The sequence below is a fragment of the Homo sapiens genome, chromosome 7, assembly GCF_000001405.40.
Source record: "Homo sapiens chromosome 7, GRCh38.p14 Primary Assembly".
NCBI classification, from domain to species: domain Eukaryota; kingdom Metazoa; phylum Chordata; class Mammalia; order Primates; family Hominidae; genus Homo; species Homo sapiens.
Genome location: NC_000007.14, coordinates 66,135,045 through 66,158,915, shown reverse-complemented (window position 1 = coordinate 66,158,915; position 23,871 = coordinate 66,135,045). Strand labels below are relative to the sequence as shown.

At 45.6% G+C, this 23,871-nt stretch overlaps 1 protein-coding gene across 5 annotated transcripts in view, besides 2 other annotated features; it reads right to left on the bottom strand.

Annotated features, from left to right (window-relative positions):
• Positions 1-4,347: 4,347 nt before the first annotated feature.
• CRCP (CGRP receptor component) overlaps positions 4,348-23,871 on the bottom strand; it is a 39,751-nt gene continuing 20,227 nt past the window's right edge. For all 5 annotated transcript variants that reach the window (NR_024548.2, NM_001142414.1, NM_014478.5 and 2 more), the window contains 2 exons: positions 13,416-13,473; positions 4,348-6,708 (listed from right to left, as the gene is read on the bottom strand). Coding sequence is in view for 4 of the 5 variants with exons in the window: in NM_001142414.1 (NP_001135886.1) it covers positions 6,559-6,708; positions 13,416-13,473 (208 nt within the window). In the remaining variant the exon portion in view is untranslated. The remainder of the gene's footprint in view (positions 6,709-13,415; positions 13,474-23,871) is intronic.
• Positions 9,711-10,910: an enhancer, noted in NCBI's record as "MED14-independent group 3 enhancer chr7:65612993-65614192 (GRCh37/hg19 assembly coordinates)". NCBI's record gives its function as "activates an origin of replication core promoter dependent on BRD2, BRD4, P300/CBP and CDK7 cofactors, and independent of MED14, by STARR-seq in HCT116 cells {active_cell/tissue: HCT116}" and the evidence as "EXISTENCE:reporter gene assay evidence [ECO:0000049][PMID:35650434]".
• Positions 10,252-10,431: an enhancer, noted in NCBI's record as "active region_26082". NCBI's record gives its function as "activates an Ori minimal core promoter by ATAC-STARR-seq in GM12878 lymphoblastoid cells {active_cell/tissue: GM12878}" and the evidence as "EXISTENCE:reporter gene assay evidence [ECO:0000049][PMID:35858748]".

Below are 23,871 nucleotides of genomic sequence, written 5' to 3'. Positions count from 1 at the left end.
GTAGTAGAGAAGGGTTTCACCGTGTTAGCCAGGGTGGTCTTGATCTCCTGGCCTCGTGATCCACCTGCCTCAGCCTCCCAAAGTGCTGGGATTACAGGCGTGAGCCACCGCACCCGGCCTTGTTTTTTTAAATACAATTTGTGATTTTTGTTGTTGGAAAGTAGGCATTTGAAAAGGCAGCCATTTCTTTGTCTGCAGATTGGGTCTGTGCCAGTGAACTCCTTCACTAATTAGCAGGACATTTTTTGTGTCTTGGGATCGGCCTGAGGAGAAAGCAAAATGTCTTGGTCCATTTTGTGCTGCTATTACAGAATATTACAGACTGGGTACTTTACAGAGAACAGAAATGTATTTCTCACAGTTCTGGAGGCTGGAAAGTCCAAGCAGAAGGTGCCCACATCTGGTGTGATAAGGGCTTTCTTGCTGGATCCTCACATGGCACAAGGCAGAGGGTACAAAGGGATGAAATGTGTGTCCTCACATGGCAGTAAGCCCTTTATACAGTGGTATTAATCCATTAATGAGGGCAGAGCCCTCATGACCTCCCATTAGGCCCCACCTCCCAATACTATTGTAATGGGGATTACATTTCAACATAAATTTTTGGAGAAGAGAAAAACATTCAAACCATAGCATTCTCCCCTAGCTCCCCTAATCCATATCTTTCTCACATCCAAAATATCTTCATTCCATCCTAATAACCCCAAGAAGTCTTAATTTGTTTCAGCATCACCCTTAAAAGTCTAAGCTTCAAAGTCTTATCTAAATCATGCTGGGTGAGGTGGCTCACGCCTGTAACTTTGGGAGCACTTTGGGAGGCTGAGGCAGGGGGATCATTTGAGGTCAGGAGTTCGAGAAAACCTGGCCAACATGGAGAAACCCCATCTCTACTAAAAATACAAAAATTAGCCAGGTGTGGTGGTGCATGCCTTTAGTCCCAGCTACTTGGGAGGCTAAGGGAAGGGAACTGCTTGAACCCAGGAGGTGGAGGTTGCAGTAGTGAGCTGAGATCACACCACTGTACTCCAGCCTGGGCAACAGAGCAAGACTCCACCTTAAAAAAACAAAGCAAAAGCCTTGTCTGGGAAATCTGCTGGTCCCCTTATTAATTTTCTTTCTTTTTAGATGGAGTCTCACTCTGTCACCCAGGCTGGAGTGTAGTGGTGTGATCTCAGCTCACTTCAACCTCCATCTCCCAGGTTCAAGCCATTCTCATGCCTCAGCCTCCTGAGTAGTTGGGACTACAGGCTGCACCACTGCATCTGGCTAGTTTTGGTATTTTTGTAGAGACAGGGTTTCACCATGCTGACCAGGCTGGTCTCAAACTCCTGACCTCAGGTAAGCCACCTGTCTCAGTCTCCAAGTGCTGGAATTACAGGCAAGAGCCACCACACCTGGCCCCAGACAAGGCTTTTATTTCGGGGCTTGTGCCCCAGTACAAGGACGCTCCAGCTGACTCTCTGAAAAAAGCCAGTAGGAGTGCTTTTTTTTAATTAGACAAAGTGTGGGAATTGACATCAGGGGTAAGGTTTGCAGGCTGAGCTGGTAGCACATGATGGGCAAGGCATGCAAGTCGGCATATCTGGTTGCAATGGTTATCTTGGGTAATGGACAATTTAGTGGTCTGGCCGGTGACAAAAGGGCTGTAAATCAATTACTCAGCATTTCTTCCTGAGGTGGAACACTCCCCAACCTCACTCTGATATTTAGATTTTCTAAGGCCAGTTCCTGGAATTTTTTTTTTTCTTTGAGACAGAGTCTCACTCTGTCCCCCAGGCTAGAGTGCAGTGGCACAATCTTGGCTCACTGCAACCTCTGCTTCTGAATTCAGTTCAAGCAATTCTCGTGCCTCAGCCTCCAGAGTAGGTGGGACTACAAACGCATGCCACCACACTCAGCTAATTTTTTGTATTTTTAGTAGAGACGGGATTTTGCCATGTTGCCCAGGCTGGTCTCGAACTCCTGAGCTCAGGTGACAGGTGATCCACCCACCTTGGCCTCCCAAAGTGCTGGGATTACAGGCACGAGCCACACACCTGGCTTATTTCCTGGAATTCTTTAAGTGAAAGGCATGGTTAAACATTATGGCATCAGTGAGGTAGTGGTGTGGGGTTTTTTGTTGTTGTTTTTTAATTTTTGTGGGTACATAGTAGGTGTATTATTTATGGATTACATGAGATGTTTTGATAGTCATGCAATGTGTAATAATCACATCATAGAAAATGGGGTATCCATCCCTTCAAGCACTTACCCTTTGTGTTATAAGCAATCTAGGATGGGTGCAGTGGCTCATACCTGTAATCCCAGCACTTTGGGAGGCCGAGGCAGGTGAATCACCTTAGGTCAGGAGTTCAAGATCAGCCTGGCCAACATGGTGAAACCCCCATCTCTACTTAAAAAAAAAAAAAAAAAAATTAGCCAGGTACGGTGGCGCTTGCCTATAATCCCAGCTACTCTGGAGCTGAGGAGGGAGAGTTGCTTAGAACCCAGGGGCAGAGGTTGCAGTGAGCCGAGATCGTGCCACTATAGTCCAGCCTGGGCAACAGAGTGAGACTTGGTCTCAAAAACAAAAACAAACAAACAAACAAACAAAATCTATACTTTTAGTTATTCTTATTTTTAAATTTTAATTATTTTGAGACACAGTTTCGCTTTGTCACTAGGGCTGGAGTGTAGTTGCGTAATCTCAACTCACTGCAACCTCTGCCACCTGGGTTCAAGTGACTCTCCTGCCTCAGCCTTCTGAGTAGCTGGGATTACAGGCGCACACCACCACACCTGGATAATTTTTGTATTTTTAGTAAAGGTGGGGTTTCACCATGTTCGCCTGGCTGGTCTCAAACTCCTGACCTCAGGTGATCCAAAAGCGCTGGGATTACAGGCATGAGCGACCATGCCTGGCCATTATTTTTTTAATTTTTAATTTTTGTGGGTAGATAGTAGGTGTATATATTTATGGGATACTTTGATACAGGTATGCAATGCATAATAATCACAGGGTAAAGGGGGTATCCATCCCCTCAAGCATTTATTCTTTGTGTTACAAACAATGCAATTATGCTCTTTATTTTTAAATTGAGGCTGGACACGGTAGCTCACCCATGTAATTCCAGCACTTTGGGTGGCTAAGGCAAGCGTATTGCTTGTGCTCAGGAGTTTGAGACCAGCTTGGGCAATGAGATAAAACCCCGTCTCTACAAAAAAATACAAAAAAATTAGCCTGGTGTGGTGGCACACACCTGTGGTCCCAGCTACTCGGGAGGCTGAGGTGGGAGGATTGCTTGAGCCCAGGTTGCTTGAGCCCATGAGCTGAGACTGCACCACTGCACTCCAACCTGGGTGACAGAATGAGACCTTGTCTCAAAAAAAAAAAAAAAAAAGTACAATAAATCTTTGATTGTAGTCACCCTGTTGTGCTATCAAATACTAGATCTTATTCCTTCTATCTAATTATATTGTTGTATCCATTAGCCATCCCCCCCAACCCCCACTACCCTTCCTAGCCTCTGATAACCATTCTTCAAATCTCTACCTCCATTAATTAAGTTGTTTTAATTTTTTTTTATTTTTTTTTTGAGACAGAGTCTCACTCTGTTACCCAGGCTGGAGTACAGTGGCACGATCTCAGCTCACTGAAACCTCCGCCTCCCGGGTTCAAGCAATTCTCCTGCCTCAACCTCCCAAGTAGCTGGGATACAGTTGCCTGCCACCACACCCAGCTACTTTTTGCATTTTTAGTAGAAATGGGGTTTCACCATGTTGGCCAGGCTGGTCTTGAATTCCTGACCTCATGATCCACCCTCCTTGGCCTCCCAAAGTGCTGGGATTACAGGCGTGAGCCACTGAGCCTGGCCAATTTTTATTTCTGAAACATTTATTATTAATGTGATGGGAAAATTACACAGAATATATGTTCATTTCTTATAAAGTTAAGTCTTCCAGAACCTGGTTTAACAAAAAACTGAGGTTAAATTCAGGTCTCAAATATAGAAACTTAAACTTTTCTTGAAATCCAATTAAAAATGTAGATCTAGGCTGGGCGAGGTGGCTCACGCCTGTAATCCCAGCACTTTGGGAGGCTGAGGTGGGCAAGGTCAGGAGATTGAGACCATCCTGGCTAACACGGTGAAACCCTGTCTCTACTAAAAAATACAAAAAATTAGCCCAGCTACTCGGGAGGCAGAGGAAGGCGAATGGCATGAACCCAGGAGGCGGAGCTTGCAGTGAGCCTAGATGGCGCCACTGCACTCCAGCCTGGGTGACAGAGCGAGACTCCGTCTCAAAAAAAAAAAAAAAAAAAAAAAGTAGATCTAAATAGAGTCAGTCTTTTAAGAAAAAAATCACACATTTTAGCCTCAGTCAGATTTCACTTTATTTGTATCGATGACAATATTAACTCTTCAGATTTATAAAATGACAAAACTTGATAATTACCTGGAAACAATTTATTATTAACTAGGTTAACCCTAAATCCATCAAGAAAAACCACCTAACATATTCAGTGTTAAAAAGAGACATTACGACTAGCCTGGCCAATATGGCAAAACCCTGTCTCTACTAAAAATACAAATTTTAGCAGGGTATAGTGGTACGTGCCTGTAAGTCCCAGCTACTCAGGAGGCTAAGGCACCAGAATCGCTTGAATCTGGGAGGCAGAGGTTGCAGTGAGCAGAGATCGTGCCACTGCACTCCTGGGCAACACAGCGAGACTGTCTCAAAAAAAAAAAAAAAAAAGAGAGAGACAACAATGAGACAGATTGGCACATGTATGCCCTGAGAAATAAATCAACAGCTCCCACTAAAATTCTCAATACGCTAGACAGATTTAAAAGTACAATCTGGTACTTTCTCTTTTTTGAGATGGAGTCTCACCCTGTCGGCCAGGCTGGAGTGCAATGCACGATCTGGCTCACTGCAACCTCTGCCTCCCCGGTTCAAGCGATTCCCCCGCCTCAGCCTCCCGAGTAGCTGGGATCACAGGCATGCAACACCACGCTCGGCTAGTTTTTTATATCTTTAGTAGAGATGGGGGTTTCACCATGTTGGCCAGGCTGGTCTTGAACTCCTGACCTCATGATCCGCTAGCCTCCGCCTCCCAAAGTGCTGGGATTACAGGTGTGGGCCGCTACACCTGGCCCCAATCTGGTACTTTCAATGTTGCCTATAAACAGATTTCAGCTGAAGCTCAGATGGTAAGGTTAAGATGCCTGGGGACTGGGATGGATGGACGGGCAGGAGGGTTGGAAGAGAAGTAATCCAATTAGCATTGAAAATAAGAGCGCCAATTTGGAAAATCGAATGTCTATGATCATTTTCTTCCCTAAAACAGGGAAGAAAGTGAATGTGGAAAATCCGATTTTCAGCAATATTCGCAGGACCTAAGGCAACAACCACATGCCTGGGGCAACTATACTTTCCAAATCCTGAATATTAAAAAGGTTTTCACATGGTAATCATCTTAATATTTTCTGTTTTTTAGATGAAGTTTTGCTCTTGTTGCCCAGGCTGGAGTGCAATGGTGCAATCTTGGCTCACCTCAACCTCTGCCTCCCGGGTTCAAGCGATTCTCCTGCCTCGGCCTCCCGAGTAGCTGGGATTACAGGAATGTGCCATCACCCCTGGTTAATTTTGTATTTTTTTAGTAGAGATGGGGTTTTTCCATGTTGGTGAGGCTGGTCTCAAACTCCTGACCTCAGGTGATCCGCCTGCCTTGCCCTCCCAAAGTGCTGGGATTACAAGCATGAGTCACCGTGCCAGGCTAATTGTGTCCTTTTTAAAGGAACAAACAATTTGACTGTTGTGCAAATGAGGCTTACCTGGTCTGAATATGAAGCACCTGCCCTGGGCTGCTGTCTCAGGGCAGGAAAGTGGGGTGGTCAGAAAGGCAGCCAACACTGTTTCTGCTGCCACTGTCACTAAGCCTGGAGTGCCCGTTTTCAACTGCAGTGATCTGGTCCCTAACATTTAGCCTAAACAGTGAGCTGGTAAACAAAGCCCCTGCCAGCAGAGAAAAGGGGCTCTAGAGCTGTTGAAGGATTGGCCAGGCCGGTTCTTTTCTTATCTCTGTTGTTCTCGAGGAAATTCCTCTAAGGTGAGCCAAGGTCAGTGGCTCATTTTAACTTAGAGTAACTCTCTGGGGACTCTAACCAGACTTCCAACAGTGCTCTGGGCCCCTTAGTAAGTTCCCAGGGAAGCAGATGAAACTAATTAGGACATGGCCCACCAAAGGCGACACAAGCATTTTCCCCGCTGTGCACAGAGACCTCCCCACAACTGGGGCAAAGGCCGTGGAGGAAATCTTTCAAGCACAGAGGGGTCCGCGGTCACTGTCCCCACCTTCAGCTCTCTGCCCTGACAACCTCAGCCTGTTTTCACCATGTTTCTTCTCCCCAAGGCACAAATATTTCTTTTTAACTTATTTTTGTGATGTACCCAACTAACCACAAAGCCAGGCCTGCTGGGATGAGGATAAAAATCAAATAAACAATCCTCTCAACGTCCAGGAAATGGCTGCCAGGCCTTCTGACTTCATGAAACGCCGGGGCCAGCTGTGCTCTTCTATGCTGGGTCCTCTTCGTCCATTGCCACATTGCTGTTTGTATTCTTCTTCTGCTCAGCCTCTGGCTCTGCAGGCAGAATGCTGGTGACGGTGTGGAGAAGAGCTTCAATCTGCTCCTCCGTGAGCCGCTCTTCACTCTCTTCCACCATCTGCAGAAGGAAAGAAAATCCTCCAGGGTTACAAATGAAACTTACAGCCTTGGGCAGCCCTGCCCACTGTGCTCATGGTCTCAGCCCGGCCTCCTGGCACACAGACCTCACAGCCTGGGTCCTCGTGAGTCCTCTCCATCTTACAGACGGAAGGGTGGAGCCAAGTCACATCCTGGACTGAGCCAATGCGACTGATCAAAATGGGTCAGTAAAAACCAAGTTGTAGGATAGCATTTTTCTTTAAAGAAAAGGAAAACCCCCAGCCTGGGAAGCACAGAGGAACCCCATCTCTTAAAAACAAACAAAAAAAATCAACCAAGCATGGTGGTGTGTGCCAATAGTCCCAGCTACTTGGGGGGCTGAGGTGGGAGGATCACTTGAGCCCAGGAGGTCGAGCCAAGCACTCCAGCCTGGGTGACAGAGCAAGACTTTGTCTAAAAAAAAAAAAAAAAAAAGAAAAGAAAAAAAGGAAAAAGCTAAGTTATATAACCACACACACACACACACACACACACACACACACACACACACACAGAGAGAAGTGGTGAACAGGTTGCATATGCATCTCGAAGAAGTTAAATGGCACTTTATGTACTTTTATATTTCACAAGCACATCTGTAATTTTTTTTTTGGGGGGGCAGGACAGAGTCTTGCTCTGTCGCCAGGCTGGAGTGCAGTGGCACAATCTCGGCTCACTGCAACCTCCGCCTCTCAGGTTCAAGCAATTCTCCTGCCTCAGCCTCCCGAATAGCTGGGACTACAGGCACGAGCCACCACAGACAGTTAACTGTTCGTATTTTTCGTAGAGACGGGGTTTCACCATGTTGGCCAGGATGGTCTCAATCTCTTGAGCTTGTGATCCACCCACCTTGGCCTCCCAAAGTGCTGGGATTACAGGCGTGAGCCACTGTGCCAGGCACACATCTGTAATTTAATGAACTGTATCAGCAACACGGTTGATGATGCCCACTATGTGCCAAATGGTTTGGAGCCTTCTTCTAATCCTCACTCCCACTAGCAACAGCCCTGCAGGGAGGCCTCCCATGTGTCTGGAGCTGCATCTTGCACTTCCCATCCGGCATTTCCTTTCGTCCTCCCAACAATGCTGCTAAGGGGTAGAACTGGAATCCCCAGCCAGAACTGCCCAGTCTAAAACCCACAGTCCCCCACGTTGCACACCACACTGCCCATCAAAGGTCCACATAAAACCTGGTTTCTGATGTGGTCCCAGAAATCTGAATCTAGAGATGATACTCACAGCCTGAGCCAGTTTCCTTAGCTTCGCCCCTAATTCTAAACAGAATTAGGTCGTCAGCTGCCTTTTTAAAAGCAGCAGGCAGGCAGTCAAGTTGCTTAACCCTGTTTGCTTGGTGGCATCAACCATCAATCACAAACACCTTTCTCAGCTCAAGGTGGCCAGATTCTATTCCATGGCATTCCCCACAGCAATCTCTGAAATCCGGCAACTGGGACCACAGGGAGTTCCAGAAAGAAATCCTGGCAGACTGAAGTAAAACAAGATAATAAGACAGGCCTGCAATCCTGGAGAGGATCCCAGTCTGACCACCTCCCTTTACAGACAACAGCACAGTTCAGGAAGTCATGTGACACGCCCAAGGTCACACCACGAACTCCTGGCAAAACCCTGGTCTCTCCACTCACTTCAGCCCAAAAGTGTTTCTGCAACTAGATAATAATCCTGGTGTCCCAGGATGGGGGAGATCCTGAGTGAATCAATGGGGGCTACTCCCTATGATGCTGTGAAATAAAATGACCATTTTCTAAAGATTCCATGGCTCAGGAAAATGTAAATTCTCTTCTGAGAAAGAAACAATCTTCAACTCCCCCCCTTCACTCTTGTTGCCCAGGCTGGAGTGCAATGGCATGACCTTGGCTCCCTAGCAGCTGGGATTACAGGCATGCACCACCACACCCAGATAATTTTGTATTTTTAGTAAAGACAGAGTTTCTCCATGTTGGTTAGTCTGGTCTCGAACTCCTGACCTCAGGCGATCCACTCACCTCGGCCTCCCAAAGTGCTGGGATTACAGGAGTTAGCCACCGCGCCCGGCCAAAAACCCATTTTTAAAATCAGACATGGGGCCGGGTGCGGTGGCTCACGCCTGTAATCCCAGCACTTTGGGAGGCTGAGGTGGGCGGATCACAAGGTCAGGAGATCGAGACCATCCTGGCTAACACAGTGAAACCCCGTCTCTACTAAAAATACAAAAAATTAGCTGGGCGTGGCAGCGTGCGCCTGTAGTCCCAGCTACACGGGAGGCTGAGGCAGGAGAATGGTGTGAACCCAGGAGGCAGAGGTTGTAGTAAGCCAAGATCGTGCCACTGCACTCCAGCCTGGGTGACAGAGTAAGACCCACTCTCTTTGGGGAAAAAAAAGGTGGGGGTGAGGGATAATGTAGTCATTGTCATTTATCCTAGTGATCCAAGACGTGCTAGTAAGTTTTTTATTTCTGAAAGTTTCTTTTTTGTTTATATTTCATTTAGTTTAATGCAGCTTAGGGTTTCTTCCTGTGACTGGGAACCTTAGGTTGAAAAAAAAGGTCTTGACTGTAATTAAGGAGGATTGGATGTTGATAAAAGCTCCGGCCGTTAGTGAACTTAGCAAAATTCTTTTCTGCACATTATTTTCTCAAACGGAGATCATCTTTTCTCCAGGTTAAATAATCAAATCTTGGCTATTTCCCTCCTTTCCCTGCTTTATTCTTTGGGCGCAATCATCACTTACTGCAGTCTCAAACTCCTGGGCTCAAGCAATCCTCCTGCCTCAGCCTTCCAAGTAGCTGGGACTATAGCTATGTGCCACCATGTCCAGCTAATTATTTTTTATTATTTTTTGTAGAGATGGGGTTGCCCAGGCTGGTCTTGAACTCCTGGGCTCAAGTGATCCTCTCACATCACCCTCTCAAAGTGCTGGGGTTATAGACATGAATCACTGTGTCCGGCCTTTCACCTTTTCTTTCCAACACAGGAGAAACAGTCCAAATAAAGAAGTAAAGTTCAAAGCACCATCTCAAGGTTCTCAGATACCAACCATTTCAGGTAGTTGAGAACATAAGGGGAAATAAAACTTAAAAATCCAAAGTATCAACAGCTGGGTTAACATAAATGATACATTTATTATCTCAATCCCAGGAGCATCAAACCGGGTTGCCGACCTCCAAAAATGGCAACTTGAAGTCGCCAAACCTAAAGTCCTACTTTCCTCAAAATGATTCAAAGATCTGATAGCAACAATGTATACTATTAAATATTTGATCCAGAACAGTTCACTGAATCTGGCTTTCTAAATTTCAACTTTCTCTAATGTAAAATGAAAGTAACGCCTACAGCGAGGACAAAAGGAGAACACATGTAACAGTGTTTTACAAGCAATAACGCTCTATATGAGTCAAGACTTCATAATCACGAAATCACTAACAGGCCTAGATGGTAGTGCTGTTCAGGGCAGTGGCCTGTGAGGTCACAGGATTCACTGACCTCAGGCCGGAGGGCTCACAAATCATTCCAAATCAATACACAACCGGGCACAACAAGTCCTAAGCTGGGTGGCCACCTCATTTCCTCACCGAGCCTCTGAGTCAGCAGGCAGTCATCAGAGGGCCACAGCAAATCACAGCCCAGGCGTAACTGAAGAGGTGAGGCTTCAGCCTCCAAAAGACACCTGGCTTCCAAGTGAATGCTAATAAATGTTGGATGCTGGGACTGTTTTCTGAACCCAGGGAGAAAAAATGGCTCTAGTGTTAATATAGGGAACTTCTCACTCAAGTCCTTTGTGCTTGCCACTGTAAGTGAAACCTTTTATTTCCTTTTGTTTTCTAGAGAAGGAGTTTCGCTCTTGTCGCCCAGGCTGGAGTGCAGTCACGCTCACTACACTTCGCTCACTACAACTTCCGCCTCCCAGGTTCAAGCGATTCTCCTGCCTCAGCCTCCCAAGTAGCTGGGATTACAGGTGCCCGCCACCATGCCCAGCTAATTTCTGTATTTTTAGTAGGGATGAGGTTTCGCCATGTTGGCCAAGCTGGTCACAAACTCCTGACCTCAGGTGATCCACCCACCTCGGTCTCTTAAAGTACTGGGATTACAGGCGTGAGCCACCGTGCCCAGCCATTTGCTTTTTTTTTTTTAAAAGACAGGTTCTTGCTCAGTCACACAGGCTGGAGTACAGTGGCACTATCATAGCTCACTGCAGCCTTGAACTTCTGGGCTCAAACAATCCTCTCACCTTAGTCTCCTGAGTAGCTGGGACCACAGGTGTGCGCCACCATACCTGGCTAATTTTTTTCATTTTTTGTAGAGATGGGGTCTTACTATGTTGCCCAGGCTGGTTTTGAATTCCTGGCCTCAAGCAATCCTCCCACCTTGGCCTCCCAAAGTGCTGGGATCACAGGCGCAAGCCACCATGTTCGGCCACAGCTTTCATTTCTTATTCACTCTGGTGAGAAGCGATACTGCTACAAACCTTGGTAAACAATTTGCTACCTTTTGTAGCCAAATTCCAGAGTGGGAAGAATCTGGCTATAAAATGGTCCAACTACTGAGAAACAGCAGTTTCTACCAAGGCCTACCTACTTTGTAGAAACGAGAAGGAAACCATCTCAGGGGATGCCACACACATCTTTCTTCTCATCAAGCACAAGTACCTGGCTTGGAGGAGCAAAGTAAAGCTTCTGAATCAGAAGGTCCCAATCAGCCACTCACCAGCCCTCTGGGCTAAAATGGAGAGGACACTTGCCCCCTTCCAAGACTATGGGGCGGGCATTCGAAGTGACAGACAATCACAGGCACCAGGACCAAGGACTGAGACCGTGTCTGGCACACCCCATGCACTCTTTTTTTTTTTTTTTCCCAAGATGGAGTCTCACTCTGTCACCCAGGCTGGAGTGCAGTGGTGCAATCCTGGCTCACTGCAACCTTGGCCTCCCGGGTTCAAGTGATTCTGCCTCAGCCTCCCAAGTAGCTGGGATTACAGGTGTGCACCATCATGCCCAGCTAATTTCTGTACTTTTAGTAGAGATGGGGTTTTACCACTTTAGCCAGGCTGGTCTTGAACTCCTGACCTCAGGTGATCTGCCCACCTTGGCCTCTCAAAGTGCTGGCATTACAGGCATGAGCCACCGCGCCCGGCCCACCCCAGGCACTCTCAATAGCAGCAAATCTTCCCCCAAGTAATGATACCACTTTCCACAGGCTCTGGCTGAGGTCACACTAATCCTCATCTCTTCTCTCTGCCTGTCATTAAGCCATGAGTAACATATGTTGCTGATTAAAGCTGGAGGAGACATGACATATGATCTTTAACCCAGAGGGACAGGGATTCGTTTCTTGCTGTTCTGTTTGTTTTTTCTCTCCTCTAAGCTCTAGGTTGAAACTCCAATACAGTGTAAAGCATGAAAATAATCAGGACACATGAGAAAGGGGTTTCTATTTAGCCTACAGGCGGGTTCCCAGAGAAAGGCACCCTTCATGAAAGGAACTGTTCTAATTTAATTTTGGGTACATTCTGAAGGGCAAAAACAACCCTAGGAAGACAATGAACAATTTAGTAAAAAATTAAATACCCTGTGGCCTTTTAAAAAGTTTTTCCATTAGCAACTCTAAAAATCGTATTTTTGACCATTTTCTTCCATACTTTTCTAAAGGAAATTTGACAAAGAGCTAAGTATTTCTAAAACTGACTTTGGAAACTGCTTTATTCTCATTTTGTTAATTCTCTAAAGTTTCTTCTTCTTTTTTTTTTTTAAACTGGCAATTAGACGGCCTGCTTAACACTTGTCAGGTACCGATGCTCTCTGCCCTGTAATAAGAAGGCAGCGGCCACAGCGTGCCCAGTGGTGGCCCGGGTATCTCCCTGGATCATTTCCCGGGCCCCTTATCCCATCGTAGGCCCCTCTACTCTGGCTGCCTCCTCCTATTCCAAAGCCTACGCTCTCAGTACAAAGCGGACTTCACAAGTGATGAGGCTGTACTAAATAAACGGTTTATGCAGGGAAATGGGATCACATTCATGGTTTTAGATGTGATCTCTGACGGTGATGTGGGAGATGGACTTGGGGAGCCAGGGAGAATGGGGAGAGGATAACCGCAAGAGCCGCGTGAAGAAATAATGGCAGAAATCAACGCAGTACACGGGGGAGAGAAGCAAGAACGAAGACAGAAGCAACAGAACTTGGGGACTCCCTGACTGTGAGATGAAAGGAAGAGAATGGCTTGCAGGTTTCCGGCGTGGGAGGCCAGGCCAGGAGATGAGCAAGGAAGGGAGCTGATGGGACAGCGCACACATGCTCCCCTCACCCAGAAAGAGAGGAAGCAAGAGCAGGGTGAAGGGTGGGCGTGGGGACAGAGAATGTTCACCAGAGACATGCTGAATTTCATGTTTTTTATGCAACATCTGGTTGGCAACAACGCCTACAGGGAAGCAATGGCCAGAATGGCCTGGACATCAGGGGAGTCGGAGAGCCGCCAAGTCATCAGCCAAAACCCTAGAGGAGGAATGAAATCTCCTCCAGTGTTTTGTGGTCCCTAAGTCCACACTAACTAGGATCAAACTGGCAAGGTCTCTTTTTCCTTAAGAAATGGAGTGGTTGGGCAGCCTCTTAAAAAAAACGCAGTTCCTGGCTTGTCCACCACAGCCATTCTACATCTCAGACCCACAGCAGCCTCCCCAGCACAGGCGCCCTTCACTCACCAGCTGGATCTCCACAGCAGTCACAGGCCGGTGGTTCAGCAGCTGGAGCTTCTCAGCTCTGTGGAGGGAAAGTACAGCGTTGACAACTCGCATAGCCCTAAGTCCTGAGTCCTGACTGAGCTGCACAGAGAATAATTTGCCAGATAAAAAATGGGAGAACCACTGGAGTGTGGCCCTCAGTTCCTTCAACTGTAAATCGAGAGAATGGGAACAGGAGCGTGTATGTGAGTGACTCCCAGCCCACGGTACGAATGGGTATCAGAGGCATGATTGTAGGAAACAAAGCAGCAGGGCATATGCCATTTTAAAAACAGGGGGGTCATTTTCTTTTTTCCTTTTTTTTTGAGACAGAGTTTTCCTCTTATTGCCTAGGCTGGTGTGCAGTGGCACGATCTTGGCTCACTGTAGCCTCCGCCTCCAGGGTTCAAGTGATTCTTCTGCCTCAGCCTCCCAAGTAACTGGGATCACAGATGCTCGCAACCACACCCACCCAGTAAATTTTTGGTATTTTTTTAGCAGAGATGGGGTTTCATCATGTTGGCCTGGCTGGTCTCAAACCCTCGACCTCAGGGGATCCACCTGCCTCGACCTCCCAAAGTGGTAAGATATAGGCGTGAGCCACCGTGCCCGGCCCAGGACGGTAATTCCTATCTGGAAAATGTGAAGAAAATAATGCTTTCTTCATCCAAATTATAGAAAGTACCAACTAACAAAATCACCTTAGGCCAGGTGTGGTGGCTCATGCCTGTAATCCCAGCACTTTGGGAGGCCAGGTGGGAGGATCCCTTGAGGCCAGGCATTCCCAATCAGCCTGGGCGACATTAAAAAACCTTACAAAAAAATTAAAATAAATTAGCTGGGCATGATGGGTTGCGCCTGTAGTCCCAGCTACCTGTAGTCCCAGCTACGGAAGGCAGAGGACAAGGAGGTGAGGCAGGAGGATCGCTTTAGCCTGCACTCCAGCCTGGGCGACAGAGCCACACCCTATCTCTAAAACTAAAAAATTAAAACACACAAAATCATCTTGTGTGGTCATCTCTTAGAAATGGGTAAATTCCTTTTTGAGATGAAGATTTAATATTTCCCAAATTTGACTTATTATCTTAGTAAACAAAACAGGGACTAAAAGGGGCAGGAGTTAATACACAGAAATACAGGTACAGTGCCTCTGCCCTGAAAGCACTTAACCCAGCTGGAGAAAGAAGACAAATACATGTAAATTTTCACAACAAAAGATCTGAGTGACAGTTAGATATAGTGATCATCTGCCTCAAAGAAAGAAACAGATCATTGCTGAAAGGGTGGCTGAATCATGTGGACTCTGAAAGACTACAGAACTTCAGAGGAGATCAAATGACTGCAGTGACCACCCCTGTGCAGGCAACAACTTCTACATTTCTCTCTCAATTTGACCCTGGGGCTGCATATCCATCTTTCCAATCAGCTCAGTAAGTATTTATCGCATTAAAGACCTTCTGGAGTGAAAACATGAAGAAGCCACGACTCCTGCAGCCATGTGTTGGGGGAAGCAGAACACTTACCCACTCTCCCTGAGCCTCAGTTTCCTCATCTGTGAAATAGGAATGATAACAGTACTTAACTATCTTATGAGAGGATTAACAGGGATGAAAATCTTTCCAGAGGCCGCCACTACCATTTATTGCTTGCTTTCCATGTGGAACTACATCAAATCCTCAGATTTCACTGACACTGAGAGAGTAAATAACTTGTCTACAGTTGCAAAGCTAGTAAATGGCAGAGAAGCTCCTGTTCTTGGCCATCTGCTTCTAGTGTACATGTGATAATGGATGGAAAGTGTCATAATGCCATCTGTCTCACGATAGTTTCTCCATAAATGGCAGTCATTATTAGGGCAGTTCTAGTCAATTTCTACTGCTTGTAATCCCCCAAATGTTTACTCTAGACTCAAGGAGGGAGACTCCACAGAGATGACCCTTGCACTAGATCCTGATGGCTTTTCAACACAAAAGGGATGGGAGGGACAGCCAGCCAGGGCAGGAACAACACAAGGACGTGCCCAGAGGAAAGAAAGCTCCCGGAGTTTTAGGAAACAGCTAGAGAGGGGTGGGACATGGGGTGAAAGAGTCATTTGGGACAAGATCGAAAGGGCCCTGACTATCAAGAGGCTGGGTGTGACTTGGTCAATATAGGAGAGCAATCAAGGAAGAGGGGCATGCTCTGGCTGGTGCTGGCAGCGATTTGGGAAGACCCAAGAAAATGGAGGCAGACAGTGAGGAATGCATTGTAACACCCCCTGGGTGAGTGAGAGTGAGTTATGAAGTTGGCCAGCAGGAGCAGGCATGCCAGTAAGCGTCTAAACACGTGAAACACTTCCCGTCACCCTCAGGTAAAGTCAACAGGACTTGACAACTGCCTAGATTGGGTAGGATCAGGGAGGAGGAGTGAGGGAACAGATAGAGTCAAGGTTAGGTTGTTTAGAAAAAAAATACATTATTTAACATGAAATTTGAGTTTGTAGTACCTTTATAACTCTGAAGAGGCTTCTGTCAAAAAGTGTGTCTAGTTTGGTCTAAAACTAAAGGAAAAAAACCAGCACTAGATTTATTTGCAAGGAGTTACATGAAACCATGGAGTGGATATTATGGGTCCAGAGACCAACTGTGGAGTGAGTGAAGACCAGGACAGAACACCATAAAGTGCCTCCATTTAACGGGCCAGGAGAAGCCAGGCACGGTGGCTCACATCTGTAATCCCAACACTTTGGGAGGCTAAAGTAGGAGGATCACTTGAGGCTGGGAGTTCAAAAACAGCCTGGGCAACAAAGTGAGACTCTGTCTTTACAAAAAATAAAAATAAAACAATTAGCCAAGCATGGTGGCATACACCTGTAGTCCTAGCCACTCAGGAGGCTGAGGCAGGATTGCTTGAGCCCAGGAGTCTGAGGCTTCAGTGAGCTATGATCACACCACTGCACTCCAGTCTGGGAGACAGAGCGAGAAAAATAGGTTGACTGTGTCAATATAGAAGTCACTGTATTTGCCAACCAAGAGGTCATTGGTGGCCTGTGCAGTTCAGTGGAATGACAGCTGTGCTGACAACTGGACTCTGAGGACTGAGGAATGATTGTGGAGGAACGAACCTCTTGATAACACAGAAGTAAAAAAGCAGCTCCAGCCGAAGGAGGGAGGGTCTGGAAGGAGAGTGGAGAATGGCCACCGGCTGGGGAGACAAACACATGGAGAGGCTGAAATTCCAGGAGGGAAAAGTAAAGACCCTCAGAAACTGCTGCCCAAATCTCCAGCAAAGGGGCTCATGTTCCACTGAGACCACGGTGAGGGGAACCAGCAGCCAATCGGAAAGGACTGGAAGGGAGATGAGTTCATTCCGGTTAGTTTTCTCAGTTCCCGTCTGAGAGGTCTCCACGTGAAGAGGGAGAAGAGGGATCGCAAAGACTAAAAGCTACAGAGGATAGGTAACGAGATGACCAGAAGATCAGCAAAGACATTCACAACCGCTCCCTGAAAAACTCCAACTCGAGGTCAAACCACCAAGCAAGTTCCCTGTCCTACACCCAAGGAGCTGAGCACTGCTGTGGTCACAGCAGGCCCCCATGCACTCCACACTCCAGTCTGGGGTGGTGGAATTAAGGGGGTCAGCGCACAAACATTCCCTGCTGGCTTCAGAACCAAGCCACTTTCATTGTCTCTACCTTCTTCCCTTGCTTCTCAACTCCCTGCACCCTAGCTCTTGCCCAAGTGATCACCAAAAGTGTTCTTGCTTCAAGGGCCTGGTGCCTCCACACGGACAAATCCAGCGGCTGCTCCTCGGTCCTACTCCATCTGACACTGCTGATCATTCCCTCCTTAAAACTGCCTGCCCTCGGGGCTTCCATGACACCTTCTCTTTCAATTCTTTCCTGATCCGACTCTCCCTTCTTCATCTCCTTCTGGATTTTCTCTTCTCCAGAGAGGCTCTGGCACTCTCATGGTGCTGACTTTCATCCTCTGACCCTCCTACTGACGTCCTCACCCAGGCCTCAAAATCTCAGCTACCACTACAGGCTGTAACCAAGAAGTCCATGCTTTCTGGAGACAGAGAGAGGAGAAGGACCAGAGAGCAGATCAGAGGCGGGGACGGGCAGCAGGGTGGGCGAGGTGGGAGAAGTGCACGTGGTTAATGACTATGAAAAAATAGAAAGAATGAATAAGATCTAGTATTTGATAGTCCAACAGGGTGACTACAGTCAACAATAATTTAATTGTACATTTAAAAATAACTACAAGAGTATAACTGAATGTGTTATGCTCACAAATATAACAAGAGCTGCAAGTTCCCAGAGGAGCCAGGCCCAGCCACAGTGAAGAAGCCTGCCGCTCCCTCTTCTGGCTGTTGGACAACAACGCTGCCTGAAGCGTTAACTCTTGGCAGAGTCATGGAAACAAGCAATTAATCAAAGGGTTGAGGTTAAAAGGATTAGAAAGCCTTTTAAAAAGATTTTAAAAAATCTTCGATTTTAGGATCATTAGTGGAAAAAAGGGAGCTAAGATCAATCCTCCTTGAATACTACAGTCTGCTTTAAATTTATATAGATCATGGCCAATCACGAATCAGCTTGCAAGACAATGCCTATGTATTTGTAGGTTTTTTGAACAGTATTTGTCCATACTTACAGTAGAAAAGATGTTGGGCTTAGGAAGCAATACATTAGCCCAAAGAGATGAAAAGAGGCCTTAAAAATCAACTGTTAGCACTTCTGCTACAGGAGAAGATGGAGGAAGCCCACGAAAGCCTTTCTCTCTCCACAGATTACAGTGAAAAATTTCGACACAGCCGGGCGCAGTGACTCATGCCTGTAATCCCAGCACTTTGGGAGGCTGAGGCGGCGAATCACCTGAGGTCAGGAGTTCGAGACCAGCCTGGCCAACATGGAGAAACCCCGTCTCTACTAAAAATACAAAAATTAGCGGTGATGGCATGCACCTGTAATCCCAGCTACTCAGGAGGCCGAAACAGGAGAATCACTTGAACCCAGGAGGCGGCAGTTGCAGTGAGCTGAGACTGTGCCACTGCACTCCATCCAGCCTGGGTAACAAGAGCAAGACTCCAACTCAAAAAAAAAAAAAGAAAAGAAAAGAAGAAATCTCCAGACAAAAAAACAAAAAAAATACCCGACTCTGAAAAGCAAACAAAAGCAGGTGGTCTGGGAGGGAAACAAAACCTGAGAACCATTTGGGGTGGAGGATGGATGTGAGTTTCTTGGGGCTTTTTCCCCTTTTCTCTCAGGGCCTCAATCCTGGTGCAGCTGCGGTGGCCCCACAAGCAGCTCCAACTCCAGGAGAAATCCAATCTTTCTCGCCAGGAGACTGAGAAAGGCTGGAGACCCAGGAGGAGCTCACAACTCAAGGGCAGCCCCCCAGGTGGGGACCAGCAACAGGCGTAGCCTGGAAGGGAGCCCTTGCTGTCCAGAGTGCCCAAGAGTCATTTTTCCCTTTTCCCTTTTCTACTTTCCCTGCTCTGCTCCAAGGACAGCTCTAGTAACAACAGGTGGGCAAACCTTTGAGAGAAACTCGGAACTTGTGGCTACAGGACCCAAAAGGGGGTATCATGTGGGCCAGAGGGTAGGAGCAGGGAAGTTCCAGAGAGGAGAGCTAGAGAAGGGGACTCCTCCAAATTTGAGTATCAATCAACACAAATTCTAGATTCACCTGAGCTGTTTATGTGCAGAACAGCACCAAAACAGCAAGCATGGAACAGACCCAGCACAGCAAAGACCCCAAGTGAGAAGGGAGCAAGTTCCACCGCCAGTCCAGTCCCATATGCAAAGACCCAGAGTGGGTTTCAAAACCAAATGACACTGAAATCCTTGCCCCGGAAGGCAAGACCGACTTGAAGTCTGAACCTAATTGGATTGACAGCCTCCTAAAACACAAACCAGAAGCTTTTAACAGGACCCAGAGTCTAAACAATATAATACTCAAATGTCCAGGATACAATCTACAATTACCTCGACCACGAAAATACGACTCATTCTCCAGGGAAAAGATAATCAACAGATGCCAAGCCCATGATGACATGTTAAAATTATCAAGATTCTAACTATTATAATAACTGGGGGAAAAAGTAAACATTCCTGAAATGAATGGAATAATACAAGTTCTCAGGAAAGAATAGAAGTTATAACAAATAACCAAATGGAAACTTTAGAATTGAAAAATACCTGAAATGAAAAATTCACTGGTAGGCTTGATAACGGAAGATGCCAGAACAATCTGTGCATATACAGACAGATCAACAGAAATTATCCCATTAGACTCTGAGGCTGCAGTGAGCCTGAGGGTGCCACCGCACTTCAGCTTGGGCAACAGAGTGAAACCTTATCTCTACTAAAAAAAGAGACAGGAAAAAAAAGAGAAATTATTCCATTTGAACTACAAATTTTTTTAAAAAGGAACAGAGCCTCAAAGACCTGTACAGCAGTATCAGAGGTTTACCAGTTGTGTTTCTGGGAGCTGAAGAAAAGGAGGAGAAAGAGATTGGGATAGAAAAAATATTTCAAAAATAGCTGAGAACTTCACAAATGTAGTAAGAAACATAAATTTACATAATCAAGAAGCTCAGCAAAAATAAACTGGGGAAAAAAAAGCTGAAATATATCATTATCAAATTATTGAAGACCAAAGACTTGAAAATCTTTTTTGAAATTTATTTAAATTTTTTTTTTTTTTTGAGACGGAGTCTCGCTCTGTCCCCCAGGCCGGAGTGCAGTGGCGCATCTTGGCTCACTGCAAGCTCTGCCTCCCGGGTTCACGCCATTCTCCTATCTCAGCCTCCCGAGTAGCTGGGACTACAGGCGCCCGCCACCATGCCCAGCTGATTTTTTTTTTTTTTTTTTTTTTTAGTAGAGACGAGGTTTCACCGTGTTAGCCAGGATGGTCTCGATCTCCTGACCTCGTGATCTGCCAGCCTCGGCCTCCCAAAGTGCTGGGATTACAGGCGTGAGCCACCGCGCCCAGGCTAGTGAAGTGAAGCAGTAGGAGTAGAGGGGGATAAAAAAAATCTTAACAGCAGCCAGAGGAAAATGACACATTAGGGTTAGAGTGATAGCGGATTAAAATTTTTTTTTAATTAATTATTTTTCAAAATATAGAGATGGAGTCTCACAATGATGCCCAAGCTGGTCTCAAACTCCTGGCCTCAAGTGATCTTCCCGCCTCAGCCTCCCAAAGTGCTGAGATAATAGGCATGAGCCACTGCATCCAGCCTGATCACAGATTTCTAATCAAAAACTGTGACAGCCAGAAGTCACTGAAATGACATCTTAAAAGTTCTGAAGGAAAAGATCAATCAACCCAGTGAAATTATCCTTCAGGAATGAAAGGAAATAATGACATTCTCAGCTAAATGAAAATAAGAGAATTTGTAGCCAAGAGACCTGTTCTCAGAAAAGTGCCAAAGGCAGTTCTTCCTGGTGAAGTAAATGATAAAAAGGACGCAGGGCACTTCAGGAATAGAGAGGAAAAGAAATGATGACAAAAAGACTATTTTTGTTCTCTTAAGTTCTTTAAAATATGTAAGAATACAGAAAGTCAATGTAAAAACACTACTAATAGTATGCAGATTATATGTTTCAATGTATGTAGATTATATGTTATAAATACAACCATAACACAAAAAGAAGGTAAAGAGACTTATATACACCAACTGGTAAAATATTAACTCTGGACTATAAATGGTCAGGCATGCATATTATTAACCCTACTAGTAACCTAGTAGGGATCCCTTCAGTAACTACTAAAAACAAAAATAAACAAAAAGATACAGCCAAAAGGCTACAAATCTTTTTAGCTTTATAGATATAGAAAAAGCAAGTGACAACATTCAACATCCAATCTCAGCAATCTGAACTTCCTAAACCTGGTAAAAGACATTCATGGAAAACCTAAACTAGCATCATACTTAATGGTGAAGGACTGACTGTTTTCCCTTAATATCAGGGACAAGATGAGGATGTCTGCTCTCACCACTCCTACTCAACATCATCCTGGAGGCCCCAGCCAGGGCAATGAAATAAGAAAAAGAAGGAAAAGCCATACAGATGAGAAAGAAGTAAAACTCTGTTTGCAAATACCACGACTTTCTGCACAGAAAATCCTAAAGAATACACTAAAAAAGTTCCTAGAACTAATAAGTGGATTTATCAAGGCTGGAGGGCATAAGATCAATATAAAGTCAGCTGTACTTCTATATCAGCAATCAACAACTAGAAATGAGCACCATTTACAATAGCACGCAAAATTATGAAATAGGTATAAATCTAAAAAAATTTGTGCAGAACCTGTATGCTACACTGTTTTCATGGACTAGAAGGTTCAGTATTGGCGGGTTGTTTTTTTTTAACCTTTGACTGATCTTAAATTATTATTATTATTAAATTTTTTTTTGAGACAGTCTCGCTCTGTCGCCAGGCTGGAGTGCAGTGGCGCAATCTCGGCTCACTGCAACCTCCATCTCCCAGGTTCAAGTGATTCTCCTGCCTCAGCCTCCCGAGTAGCTGGGACTACAGGCGCCCCCGTCACCACACCCGGCTAATTTTTTGTATTTTTAGTAGAGACGGGGTTTCACCATGTTGGCCAGGATGGTCTTGAACTCCTGACCTCGTGATCCACCTGCCTCAGCCTCCCAAAGTGCTGGGATTATAGGTGTGAGCCACCGTGCCCGTCCGATCTTGAATTATTAATATTGTCAAGATGTCAATTCTCCCCCAAAACTGACCTATAGATGTAAGGCAATCCCAATCAGAATCTCAGCAGGATTTGTTCCAGATATCAACAAGTCAATTCAAAAATGTATACATAGGCCAGGCACGGTGGCTCACACCTGAAATGCTAGCACTTTGGGCAGCCAAAGCAGGAGGATCACCTGAGGTCAGGAGTTCAAGACCAGCCTGGCCAATAGAGTGAAACCCCATCTCTACTAAAAATACAAAATTGGCCAGGCACGGTGACTCACACCTGTAATCCCAGAACTTTGAGAGGTCGAGGTGGATGGATCACCTGAGGTTGGGAGTTCGAGACCAGCCTGATCAACATGGAGAAACCACGTCTCTACTAAAAATACAAAACTAGCCAGGTGTGGTGGCAGATGCCTGTAATCCCAGCTACTGTGGAGGCTGAGGCAGGAGGAATCACTTGAACCCGAAGGCAGAGGTTGCGGTGAGCCGAGATTGCACCATTGCACTCCAGCATGAACTCACAAGAGTGAAACTCCATCTCAAAAAAAAACAAACCAATAAAAAAAAAACGGGCTAGTTTTCTTCTCATGTAAACTCTTGATGTATGACGTTTTCAATTTTAAAAGGTTGAACTCATTCCAGACCAAGAAAAGGAACTGGAAACTACAAGAACTCACAGAAGATGATCAAGCCACTTTTGCCTCAAGCAAACACAAATGTCAAAAGACTTCACTGATCAACTTTATAAAAAGTACTTTAACTTGTCAACCCTACTTTTCATCCAATTTGGTCTGAATTCTGGGAGTGGGGTTGATGCGATATGTCATACAAACTGGGACTCCAAGAAAAGATTTTTTTTTTTTTTTGAGACAGAGTTTTGCTCTTGTTGTCCAGGCTGGAGCGCAAGGGCGCGATCTTGGCTCACCGCAACCTCCGTCTCCCAGGTTCAAGCGATTCTCCTGCCTCAGCCTCCCTAGTAGTTGGGATTACAGGCATGTGCCAGCACGCCCAGCTAATTTTGTATTTTTAGTAGAGATGGGGTTTCTCCATGTTGGTCAGGCTGGTTAGAACTCCCAACCTCAGGTGATCCACCCACCTCAGCCTCCCAAAGTGCTGGGATTACAGGCATGAGCCGCCACACCTGGCCAAGAAAAGATTTTTAAACCCCATTAAGATTTGTTCCTCATGGCACATGTATACATATGTAACAAACTTGCACGTTGTGCACATGTACCCTAGAACTTAAAGTATAATTTTGAAAAAAAAGATAAATAAATAAAAAAAGAAGGAAGAAAGGTCTTCTGCATTTACCCATTCAAACCAGGGTTAGTACTTGATTAATATAATATTTCAATTCTGTCTTGTTTTTTCCCCATTTCTACATTATCACATTTCCTTCCTTTCAAAACAATTTAACTTATTTTACTAATATTTTGAGATCAGCTCGTGACATTTAATGTTCTCAATAATTAGAGAAGAATTACTTTGGTTAGCCTAGAATATACTCACTTGTGTTTCTAAATTAGTAAGCTCATTTTCATCTAGATAATGGGAGGCTAGAGAGGTCCTGCTTTAAGAGTAGAACTATTGGTTCTACCAATTTTGGCTTGGAGGCACTGCGTCTGTAAGAACCAAGTGGCCCTGATACTCAGCTCTTGGTGTGAAGTGCTTTGTAAGGTTTATCTGAATTGAATCATTAGGGAAGAAGCAGTGTTAATAACATAGAAATGGTTGGCCCTGTTC